At 37.7% G+C, this 12985-nt stretch overlaps 1 protein-coding gene across 8 annotated transcripts in view, besides 1 other annotated feature; it reads right to left on the bottom strand.

Moving 5' to 3' along the window:
* Positions 2587–3105: an enhancer, noted in NCBI's record as "NANOG hESC enhancer chr18:9960172-9960690 (GRCh37/hg19 assembly coordinates)". NCBI's record gives its function as "activates a minimal SCP1, AML or CMV promoter by ChIP-STARR-seq in primed H9 embryonic stem cells {active_cell/tissue: H9 hESC(primed)}" and the evidence as "EXISTENCE:reporter gene assay evidence [ECO:0000049][PMID:30033119]".
* VAPA (VAMP associated protein A) overlaps positions 3259–12985 on the bottom strand; it is a 46006-nt gene continuing 36279 nt past the window's right edge. For all 8 annotated transcript variants that reach the window (NM_003574.6, NM_194434.3, XM_047437929.1 and 5 more), the window contains 2 exons: positions 12712–12885; positions 3259–9227 (listed from right to left, as the gene is read on the bottom strand). In NM_003574.6, the coding sequence (NP_003565.4) occupies positions 9069–9227; positions 12712–12885 (333 nt within the window). In that variant the 3' untranslated portion in view covers positions 3259–9068. The remainder of the gene's footprint in view (positions 9228–12711; positions 12886–12985) is intronic.

The following is a 12985-nucleotide window of genomic DNA, read 5'->3' as shown; positions in this document are numbered from 1 at the left end:
GGTTCGTCTCTAGCCAATGGCAGAGTTGAGATCCAAATTCAAGTCTGTCTATCCTCCAAAACCCACACTGTTTGTCCTGCTGCCCCTCTACCAGCATTCAATAAAAGGCTGTTGCCTAACACAGATAATGCCTGCAGCTGCGGACCTGGTTAATGACTTCAAAAATAAAACTTCAAGCCAAATACCCATTGTCCAGATATATTAATTTTTAACCCAAATAATCAGACAGCTTCCCAATTTTCCACTTCATATGGACATATACGATAACTGCTACCATTTCTTGAGCATCTGCTTTGTGCCAAGTTCTGATCTAAGAGCTGTACTTCTTTAATCCCCTCCACATCCAATGAACAGGCATAGTTATTACCCTGTTTACAGAGGAAGCTGGGACAAGAGAGAAATAAAACTGCCCAAGGTCACAACTAGTAAACTGACAGAGCCGGAATTATAACCCACAATCCCATTTCAGCATCCAGACTCATACCACTTTGAAATGCTTTCCTGCCAAGGTTCTCTCATGCTTAATATTTGGAACTATAACGCTAAAGGCCATTGACGTAGCTAAAAATCTAGGTTAACTTGCTGACAGGTGGGCTATGAAGAGCCTGAATTTCAAAAAGCTTGTATTCTGAAACCATATTGCAGCCACATGCCAACTTCTAGCCACTAGTACGGTGTATTAGGTAATTAAGTTTTAGGCATATTATTCTTTGATGTTGAGATTTTCAAAACCAGAAAAAAAAAATTATTTTATACTCTCAAAAGTGACTGAGACCAAAGTAAGTTCTCGTTTTTATTGAATTAAACATCATTAGATCAATTTCACCGTCATTCCCACCCCCTTTTTTCCCTAAAGGCAGCATGGTATGATGAAGGGCCCAGACTTGTCCAAGACCGTTAAGTTTGGACAGTGAATTTCTCCAAGTGCTTCTCATCTGTGTTTTTCAAAAGTCTGAAAGGTGGCCGGGCGCGGTGGCTCATGCCTGTAATTCCAGCACTTTGGGAGGCAGAGGCAGGAGGTTCATGAGGTCAGGAGATAGAGACCGTCCTGGCTAACATGGTGAAATCCCGTCTCTAGTAAAAATACAAAAAATTAGCCAGGCGTGGTGGCGGGCGCCTGTAATCCCAGATACTCGGGAGGCTGAGGAAGGAGAATGGCGTGAACCCGGGAGGCGGAGCTTGCAGTGAGCGGAGATGGCGCCACTGCACTCTAGCCTGGGCGACAGAGCGAGACTCCGTCTTAAAAATAAATAAATAATAAATCTGAAAGGTTATTCTGAGAATAAAATATATGTAAAGTACTTGACATATAATAGGTACTCTACAGTTACTGCTCTTCAAACTTTAGCCTATTTCAGTTTACAATGTTTTGGACATTCTGGGCCCAATTATCTGTTGACCAGGTACAAGTGCTTAACTAGTTTTGCCTCCTGACAACAGGATCCAGCCCATATCCCAATATTTCAATCTGGTATAATCTTACCCTACACCCCCCACTCCAACCTGTACCCAATATAGAAGTACTCAGTATTTATAATACATGATTAGTGTCTAAATCAGGGGTCACAAATTCAGCTGAATACACTGATCATGCAGGTAACAAGTAAAACGGAGTATAAAACAAGTGATGGGAATTACAGGGGAAACTGCTACTTGGCTCCAGAAAATTGTTGCCATGTGGTAATGCAAGACCTTTGTTCCAAATCTTGAATTTTCAAAAAAAATGCCAGACTTTGTGCCATTTCTCCATTTACACACACACACACACACACACACACACACTCTGCAGCGCATGCAGAAACAGTGTGGATGTGCAAGCAGCCTGAAGATTCCACATATGTGCTTAAAGCACCTCATCTCTCTTCCCCTAGACTCGTTTTCCTTCTAAAATTATGTGTTACTATGTACAGTCACATGTAGCAAGTGGCTTTTAGGGCAACATTTGTCTCAACAACTGTCTTCTGGCCAGACTTGATGTCTGAGTCCTAGAACAAACCACAAGAGATTCAGGAAAGAGCTGAGATTTTCAGTGATGTCAACTACATCTGTGCCAGACCGATCAACAGACTCTGTGCTAACATCAGGCAGTGGCAGCATTGCTGCAATCATCAATAGGCTTCAGCAGCCTTTGCTAGAGACTGGTGTGCTAATTTCAGTTCTAGCCCTGGCAGCAACGGAAAGTCACTACAATGGGTCCAAGCTGCTACTCAAAGGAGAAAACAATATATTAGTACATGAAACGCATGAGAAACCCCAAGGGAATTAGGTGGAAGTTTGGGGGTGTAAAAAATGTTAGGTGAAGGTAAAGCTAGACAAATAATCATCTAAGATACACAGCTACGTGGCATTTTAAAACATGCAAAATACACTATAAAACTGATTATATAATTACATACACAGGCAGCAAAACATTGAAACAAAAGAAGGACAAAAATTTCAGGTTCGTGGTTTGACAGACGAAAATGTGGACAGGGAAGGGCATAAAGGTGGCTTTAATCATATCTAGGCTCTAAACCAAATACGGAAAAATAATGTGTCAAAGCTGGGGAAACTTCGTAAGGAAAAAAATCAAAGCAAAGGGAAAAGGAAACACTATTCTAAAGCCACCTCATCTCCATACTACTGTGGTATGGGAAACACGTTATGAAAATGTAAAACTTCATTTGCTATTGGTATCTCCAAAGTACTGTCTTGGAGTTAGACATCAAAGTATTGGATGGAAATAACTATTTACATATTTAAGCAGTTTAAACATTATTTGCTGAAAACATTTGCACTACTTCCTCAAATGCATAGATGTGACAGGCTTGTTAACTACTCAATGCAAATACTATTGTAGCTGTTATCTCCCCCCATCACCTTGTGATGCAAATGTTATAACAATGAACACAAATTTCTACCACCTTAAAGTTCACATCGGGAACCTTTAAGTACATATGCCAATATACTCCTCTCCCTGAAATACCCGTTCTACTCACCACCTATCTTAGAAAGGAACCACTTGGTCCAATTCAAAATTAAGGCTCTTAAGGCATTTCCTTCATTGCAGAATGTATAATCTCCATAATTTCTTAAAACATGCATAGGGAAACTCCTCCAGCTGAGGGATTCTATGGGAGTCCCAGTGTACAAGAACATGTCTCCCTTGCAGAGATAATTTACTTGATTAAACATTTAACTTTTAAAAGAAAATCTTAATATCCCAATAACTTCATAAAATTTGCTCAATGGCAAAGTACACAAAAGCACCCAAAGAAATACTTTGCAAAACTTTATTTTGATTCTCGTTTGTATTTGTTTTCATGTGAAATATATCCTTAAATTTAATTCAAAGTAGCTTAATACCCTCATATATTTATCTACATATTATATACAATTAAGGATATACATTTTGAATTAAAACAGCACAAAAAAGAAAGTTTGCTCCCCACAACTGTAATTCCTAACAAACCTCTATTTGAAACAAGAATAGGAATTCTTATTGCTCGAAAATACAAAAGATTCCAATTCCTTACCATTTCAACCCTCCACATTTTTTTTTTTTTTTTTTTTTTTTTTGGAACAATGTCAGTAACTCACTCTCTCTCTCACACACACACATTGTATTATTTTTCCTCAGGGTTCTTAAGTGCCTATAGTACATAACAATTTTTGTTCTTTGTAGAATTATAAACAGTATCAAGAATTTAGACCACAAAGTCAATTATAAAAAACTCTTGCTTTAATCATTAAATCTTAAAGGACCATTAGAAAAGGCCAGTCACATTCTGTTCTCCAGTCTTGTAGGTTACATAAGCCATTTCCATAAATTCTATAGCCTTCTTCTTAGAGTAACACACACTCTTGTTTAGGAATGTTCATGTTGGTTTTGTTCACGGACTGAGATTGTTAGTGGGCAGGAGTTTACTTCTTCTCAATTTTCTGGGAGATAAAGGGGGAAAGCAGTCTTCAAAAATTTAAGACCAAAAATCTTAAAGACATTTCACAAATAATAGTACTCCATGTAAAGTGGAATCAAAGGCATCACAAAATTGCCATACTTACTGTTTGTGAGGAGTCAATATTTGACTTGGACCAGGACACAAACTATGTCCTTCATATGGTAGATCACTAGGATCAGACCATCTAGATCCCACTTTCTCTGCTACTTCAGCTGTGTAGACTTGAGCTAATTGAACCTGTCTAAACCCGTCTCCCCTATTCCATAGGATGGAGATAAGTATTTCACAAGTTATCAATGATGATGAAATGAGCTGACGTAAAACTAAGTAATAAGCATGTTGAAAACGACATTATACTTGAAAACCACCTTTTGCTTTGAGAAATACATGATGGACAAAATAAATTTCTCAGGTAGGTAGGTACACTGGGTGTCAGCAAAATGGCAATTAATACTGAAGCCCACATTTCTCAAATCGCCTTTTTGCGATGACAGCTCATTTATTCACAAGTCAAAAATCTTTAGTGGTATTCCAGCAATCCTAACTTGACAAGCAAAGCTTTTATGCAATTTTTTTTAAGCAATACCTAACAGTGACTCCTGCAGTTTAAAGAAAAATAAGTATTTTAAGTTCCCCTGTATTGCTGAAGTCAAGTCTTAATTAAATCTACTTCATATCTGCCTTTGGCATTTAAAAACCTACATAAAGCAACTGTCTGGCCGATGATTGGAGCTTGAAAAAAACTACCATGCCAGATCTCCACCCCAGACCAATTAGGTCAGTATCTCTGGGGGTGCTATTCAAGCAACAATTATCTTTTATGTTCCTAAGCTCATCATGAGTTAAGGTACTGCTATAGTTGAATATCACTACTACAAAAGTTATCTGAATAACTTCCTATATACTCTCTTTCAAGATGGGTGTTATACATAGCAACAACTGGAAAACAAGAAACTGAGTTTTAAAACAAGAAATGTGGCAACAGGAGGATATGCATAACTAGAAGGGAATTGTCAAGAGGCCAGGCCAATCAAATGTTACATTATAAAATGTCCATAACCTTAAGAAAGTTAACTATAAAAACAAAGCAAAATGCTTTTAGTCACATTTATACTTGGTTTTCAATAAACCACAGAAATTAAGCTGGAAAAAAATAGGATACAACTTATAATTAGTGATTATGCTTAAAGAACATTAATATTACAGGGAAATGAATGAAATGTTCCTAGCAATTGATGCTGCTGAAAGGCAGAATTTGGAATTTTTTATATTTTCCAAAAATTGCCTGAAGTGCACACACTGTGTCAGAAGGGCAAGACAAACTTTCTTTTTCCTTAGTGATATATGTTTATACTTCTTTGCACCAACCCACGAGCGGCTGGGCATTCATTCCCAAGATGCCACTGCTTACGCGAAGAAGCGTGGTGGTAGTCTACCAAAAGTGGGGCTATGAAACGTGGCATGAAAATCAGCTGTTCTCACTTCCTACTAAAAAATAGTTAACTCCATCTCACTAAGCAAGAGACTATCTGCCATCAGAATTCAAGTCCCAGTGATTAGCTATTAATGCTTAACAGGATATAAATGCACAAACCACACAATCTGTTGAAATTTTTTTTGTATTGTGAAAAGGAAAAGGACACTTCACATTTTTAAAGTTTATTCATGAATGGTTTAATTTCCCTTTAAAGCTAGAAAATAAAGATCATTTACCTTCTGATCTTCGTTTTTCCAAATGGTAATAAGCATTGATCCTTCCCTCGAATAAAGGTGAAATTTTTAAAATCTCAGTGAATAGGAATGTGCAAAGCTCTAAGAAAACTATTACTTGAATGTCTCTAAAGTGGTAGAAGATCACAAGTTGGGAATACCCTCAAAAACTATATTTTTACCCTACTGTTAAAACTTGTTTTCAAAGTGGTGTAATCTGAAAGATTACAGTTCAAAAGTAATTCCCATACCAAATAATATCAACTTTAGGTGAACATCTAAGTATTTAAGAGTATTATTTTTCTTGGCTGGGTGCGGCAGCTCACACCTGTAATCCCAGCACTTTGGGAGGCCGAGGCAGGCGGATTCAGGAGTTTGAGCCCAGCCTGACCAACATGGTGAAACCTTGTCTCTACTAAAAATACAAAAATTAGCCGGGCTTGTTGGCTCACACCTGTAATCCCAGCTACTCAGGCGGCTGAGCCATGAGAATCACTTGAACCCAGGAGGCGGAAGCTGCAGTGAGGTGAGATCACACCACTGCCCTCCAGCCTGGGCAACAAAGCAAGACTCTGTCTCAAAAAAAAAAAGAAAGAATTACTTTTCTTTGATCGGAATTTCTGAATTTCATACATTTTTCTTCCAAGTGTCATTTTTTTTTAAGGGAACATACCACACACTCAGAACATAATGACTTAGCTTCTTGTAAATATAAGAATGGGGGAAGTTAAGGTACATTAGTTATAGAACGAAGGAAGCTAGTGCATTCAGTGTCACATATGAACTCAAGGCCTTAGTTACTTGATTGTAATTTCAGTATTAGCAACAGTGTATTTCCCTCATGCTTACATATACAAGTAAGCAGGCAGACAAAGCAAAAACTTCTAAACATATAAGGAATGAAGACAAACAATTTAATCTCTATATTATCATATTATCAGTCAATTAATACAGTTGGACTTTCAAACTATAACTGTTGGTAGTAAAATAATCTGATCACATTTCATACAGCAATTAAAAATAACAGAAACAGAGTCTCACCTATACAATCAGAGCATCTCCTGATATGAACAACAGTTAAGCCCACATACATTTTAAAGATGCTACCCAGACTACAATCTATCTCAAAAGCAACCATGGCATAATGCATTTTATAAAATGCCTACCTAAAAATACATTGTATTTTGTAATGTTTATTACCAATGTGGGAGGCATTTCTAGCCTAAACACTATAACCAAACTATTCAACAGTAAGCCGGTAGTAGTCTTACAATAAGAAATTTCACATATACTTGTTATTATAAATAGCATTTTATGTTCATTATTTCAGCCATCTCTCAAACTAAGACAATTTTCAACAGTTACCAGAAGACACTGAGCTAGAGTCAACAGACCAGATATCTAGTTCCAGCTCTGCCTCTACCTACCTGTGAGACACGGGGAAAGTTCTCTTAACCTTCGTAAGGCCTCAGATTTCTCAACCATAGAACAAAGGGGCTGAACAAAATGAATTCTAAAGAGCATTCCCATAAAACGGGATTTGGCTAAATTTTCAAGAACTTAATTTCTTTAAAAAAAGATAGCTATGAGATACCAAACTTGGTATTTACCACCAATAATATTGATTATATAAGAGCTTTAAGCCAAGGAATTACTGATTCTGCATTTATGGGGTGAAAATATAAGACTATTTTTAGCATGCTTTTCCAGTTACCAGAAAAGGGGAGAGGGGGATTTTTACAAAGACAGTAAAGCATACAGCAATGGCAGTAAAGCATGCAGCATAGCATGCTAGTAATGGATAGGCATTACTTGTGTTTCCTTTTAGGAACTTTTGCACACAAGCAAGAGGTTTTATAAAAGATACCACAGCGCCCAATAACACAATATATGTGTGATCTGACAAATTCAAAACACAGTTGAAATGAAAAGGCAACCAAAATACTTCAGAGTACTTCATTCTTCTATAAAATGTGTACACAGACCTGGGCCTAAAATACTTCACTGCACCACATCCAGTTCTAAAATCCAATTTCCTTTTCAGGTAGAGCGCATCTTTTAAAAAAAGAGCCAACACACCTATGTTTAAGAATAAAAATTCACTTGTACTAGATTGTATGTAGCTAAACACTGGATCTATTTTCTGATTCCAAAATTTTCTATCCTAGTATGAATAAATGAAGAATAGGACAAACCTAAGTGCAGGAAAGTATCAAACCCTGTAACGCATACTTATACTGAAAATGTGTTTCACATGGTTAACATTTGCAAAGGCTAAAATCATTTTTCATAAAGAAAATTCCACAGGCTTGCTCAGTATTACCAAACTTCCATAATGAACATTATTTTGAGTGCCAAATTGAGCACGAAAAAAACACCTACTTTTAACTATTATGAAATATTATGAAAAGTAGTAAGACTTATTTATTAGGCTGGTTAAAAAGTAATTTAAAACCAAAGAGAGTTAAATCTTCCTTGAGAACATACTCTCAGAACTTAAGAATGGGGTAAATCAGATGGAGCACAGCCATGCTGTACACATCAACTCACTGAAATCACATAACTTCTATTCTCATGGACCTTATTTTCTATTATCTTGAAAACAAACTGATTATAATCTCCCAAAATACCAGTGGTACCTTAAAATTTAATCAACTCCTTTCCTTAACAGAATTAGGACTTTCAATTAAAAATACTGTAATATCCAAGAGGGTTTCAATGCAAGAGAAACCTTTGCATCATAATTTCAAGTGACCATATATAGTGGAGTTCCCTCTAATAACACGACAGACACAAACAAGCTATCGAGCAAGAATCTGTTAACAGTTTTATTTTTTTTTATGTTAAATACCATGGGACAGGATTGTAAGGATGAAAAACTCAGTCAACAACTGCCTCACAAGGGATAAGAAAAATTCTGCCATGATATTAGCAAAGGTAAAGGAGGAAAAATTTACACTGTAAGAGGCACCATTTCCCCAAGGAATACCTCTTGGCATTTCCTGAATGAGTGGGATTAGCAATCTAAATAAATCATATTTCAAGAGGTAACAGCAACAGATAAAATTTAAAGGGATTATTAAAATAACATTTACAAGACTCTGAACAATTCTTGAACTCTTATTAAAACCACAAAGAAAGAACAATTCTTTATTTATGAATTTCATAAAGGACTCAATGTGCAACTGACATCTGCTAGTGATGATCTGGTAATATACAACCTGTCCAGTAGCCGAACAGTTTGTTTTTATTGTGTTTTCTAACCGTAAGAGATCATTAAAGGCAAAGCCTATATGACGCTGTACACACAAAAAAATGGTCACCGTGGGCCATACTACCAATGAAATGGTAGGTAAACAAATCTTTTTCTGGTCAAGAGAAAAAAAAAAAAAGAAACAGCACTCTGCATGCTTCACTCTACAAGATGAATTTCCCTAGAAAGAATCCAATGAAAATGGCTGCAATTACAACAAGAAGTGAAGGAAGAGGACTGGTGACATTATCTCTGAAGGATGCAGTTGAGGTTGATCCAGGTTTATCCGAATGTGCTACCTTTCTGAGCCTTAAACCTTCATCCTAGAAAAAAAACACACACACAAAAGGTTTTTAAAAACAAGCATACTAACGAGACTACTGGAGCTAAAAATCTATAGGGACGGAAAGTAGATTAGTGGTTGCCTATGGCTGGGGACGGAAAAGGGGATTAACTGCTAACCACATAAGGAAACTTTCCGGGGGTGATAGACATTCTAAAACTGAACTATAGTGATGGTTACAAAGTTCTATGTATCAATGAATTGTACACTCACAGTGGGTGTCTCCATGGGATATAAATTATACCTCAATAACACTGATTTTTTAAAACTGGAGCTGAGAAATGTATTCCTAAAAAGCAAAAGTTAGATAGGCTATATTTACCTTTTTTTAAATCCCACTAAAAATATAATTAAAGAAGAGTACTTCCAAGGTGGCCCATGGTATTTAAAATCAGTTACATCCGTCCTAGCCCAATCAGCCAAAAACTACCCAGACCTGTAGTCTGCCATTTGGGTTTACTGACACACTGCAACTAAGGAACCGGAACAGCAGAGGCACAAAAGGGTGTTCTTGCCGTAAACAGAGATATGGTATCACAGAATTTGGGGGAAGGAAACAGTTTAGCGTGAAATTTAAGTAACAGTGTTTTTATATGCTCAAAGCAAAGCAGAGGGCTGTGTGTAAAGTGGTAGCACCAGGTCTCGACTGCAAAGCAGAGAAAGAATACTGTTTCTTCAGAAACTACAAATTTAGATGAGAAATGTACATAGGAAACCCTTATCTGAAGCTCTGCACCTGGACTGGAAAATGAGGGTGCTTCTCTGTGTCAAAATGACTTAGATCCTCCAGTCAAGAGTAGGCTGCTTCATTCTTGCTGATATGGCTTCACACAGCACTATGTCTTTAGAGCAGAAGGTTTCTCAGAAGAAAGCAGAAGTCACTCCAAGCAGGAGGTTGTTATGACACTGTGTGCAATGTGAACCTTGGGAAAAATACTAATACCTGTTAACTACACAGTTGTCTTTATCTCTGTCTGTTAACCAATCTGATAAATGGCAGGACAGTTTTTTACTTTTTTCAGTACAAGGCAATATTTTCTCCCATGATTCCTTTATTGTGCTTATAAATAAACACTAACTAAAAGAGTACACCTAATGGCACAGTTTTATTTGCATTACTGGATTTTCTGGAGTTGGGTTTTTTTGGTCTCATGCTAATTAGTCCTATATAAACAGTAATTCTCAGTTTCAGCTACACATCACAAACATCTACAGAACTTTTAATACTCCTGTGATTGTGACTCATTAGGTCTGGGGCAAGCCTGGTCAACTGTAACTTTTTAAAGCTCACTAGGTGATTCACATGCAGTGTGAATTAAGAACCACAGGGCTAGGGGAATTAAAAGGGATAGTGAACAGACAGGAGCAAGAAAGTGAACCTGGCAAAAAATTATGGTGGGCCTGTGTATAGGGTCTGAAATTCTGTAAGCCAGTGGGTCTTCAAGGGTTTTGTTTTTTTTTTTTTTTTGAGACGATGTTTTGCTCGTCACCCAGGCTGGAGTACAATGGCGTGATCTCGCTCACTGCAACCTCTGCCTCCTGGGTTCAAGTGATTCTCCTGCCTCAGCCTCCCAAGTAGCTGGGATTACAGGCACCCACCACCACACCCGGATAATTTTTGTATTTTTAATAGAGACGGGGTTTCACCACGTTGGCCAGGCTGGTCTGGAACTCCTGACCTCAGGTGATCCACACGCCTCAGCCTCCCAAAGTGCTGGGATTACCGGTGTGAGCCACCCGCCCAGCCCAGCTTTTTTGTTTTACTTTTCCAGCAGCAGAATCATCTCTCAAATAAAATCTCATACAGAACACTAGCATAAAAAGAGTAGAAACCAGGAATAAAGTCTCTCTCACCTACTTCCCTGGTTCACTCTTCCTATTTTCCAGCCCTGCCCCATCTATGTCATTCTCACTGTTTCCACTTCTCCCCTCCCTGCCAGAGGTAAACAGTGGCTTTTGAAAGAAATCTATTGAGCACCCTAAGGAGCACATCTTTATCAAAGAACAGAACTATGGAAGTCATGGCAGATGAAGTAAAAGTAACCAACAACATCCTTTAAAAGATCCATGGCGTGTAGGTGTGAAATAAAGATATTCTTTCCGCTACCCAGACAAGTGCTTGGAAGCAGACGGGTACCCCTCGAGGGGGTACTATGAAACATCAAGCATGAAGAGACACAAAAATTCACTTTAAAAAGCATTTCAGCAAAGGAGTTCACAGATCGACTTAAAACACAGTGCCTTTAATTTAGAGTGTAGTTCCTACATACACCTAACAAAAGGAATAATCAAATAACTCCCATCATTTAGCTTATTTTAGTTACATACATTTTTGTATCATCTACTTTGCTGCAAAGAGCTTCAAACAAAGCCTAGAGAGCAACGTATAGGTATTTAGGTCTTGAAACAAGTAATTACTTGTCAAAGACAAATTATTCATAAATTTCAGACATATTCAAATCAGTCCTCCTTCGCCATCCATTTAATTCAATCAAATACATGAATGACTACCACATGCATGTATGGTGAATGCAGAGATAAATGAAGCACTGCCCTTGCCACCAAGGCAATTACTGCCCACTAGAGGGAGAAAGGCCTCTAACAAGTAAGAGCAGTAGAAGGCGATCAGCATAGTGGAGGCACAAAGCAGACATGACAAATCGATTTTTTTCTTCTTTTGGAGAGGGTCCCAGCAAAGGCTATATGCTGTAGTAGCAAAACGTCAATGTGTGTATGTGCTGTGTCGGGAGGGGCAGGGTTCTGGGCCTTTCCAGTCACAGTGAAGAGCTTACACTAAAGCAAAGAGGGGTGATAAACAGATGCTTCTCCAGCATACTCCAGCCCAATGCTGCCCCACGCAAATACAATGTGAGCTTCAAATGTGAGCCCCGTATGTAAAGTTAAATTTTCCAACAGTACATTTAAAAAGTAAAAAGAAATGGGTAAAATTCATTTTAATAATATATTTGATTCAACCCAATATACCCAAACTACTATTTCAGTATGTAACCATTAAAAAAAAAAGATTTTACCTTTTTCTGTACTAACTCTTCAACATCAGTATTTTACACTCAACAGCACAGCTCAATTTGAACAAATCCCATTTCAGTGCTCAACAGCCCTAGGTGACTAATGGCTATGATGTGGGACAACACAATCCTAGGCAGTTCAGTATGACTAGGGCACAAAATGGGAAGGACATGAGAAACAAGAGCAGAAGCTGGCAATACTGCAGGCCAGATCACAAATAATTAGAATGTGTGCTAAAGTAAGGAACTTGCAGCAATGAGAAACCACGGGAAGACTGTTAAAAGAGGAGTAGGGTGGGGAGCAAAGGCACTGGGGCAAAGAAGAAAGAACTGACCAAGCAAAAATTTAAAAGCTAATTGCTAAAATGGCCTAATAACACTCACATGTCCTATACCTTCATTTCAATCAATTTATTTTCAACCAACAGAACTTACTCTCAGGTGCCGATTTTCTTCTGATAGCTTCATCATTTCTCCCTGAAGTCTTTTACACTCTTCCATTAGTTTCCTTGTTTCGGTATCATTAAGTGAAACACTGTGTGGTTTTGGCATAGGTCCATCTTGCTTAGATGCATTCAGTGGAACAGCTTTGCTAGGTTCCATATCATTCTGCATTACAAAGATATTGGGAATTTTTTAACTAACCAAATCTCCTTACAGGTTTTAAACAAATAACAATATAAATTCTACATCTTTGTTCATGAAAAAC

The sequence above is a fragment of the Homo sapiens genome, chromosome 18, assembly GCF_000001405.40.
Source record: "Homo sapiens chromosome 18, GRCh38.p14 Primary Assembly".
Classification (NCBI taxonomy): Eukaryota; Metazoa; Chordata; class Mammalia; order Primates; family Hominidae; genus Homo; species Homo sapiens.
This window is presented reverse-complemented; position numbering and strand designations above follow the sequence as displayed.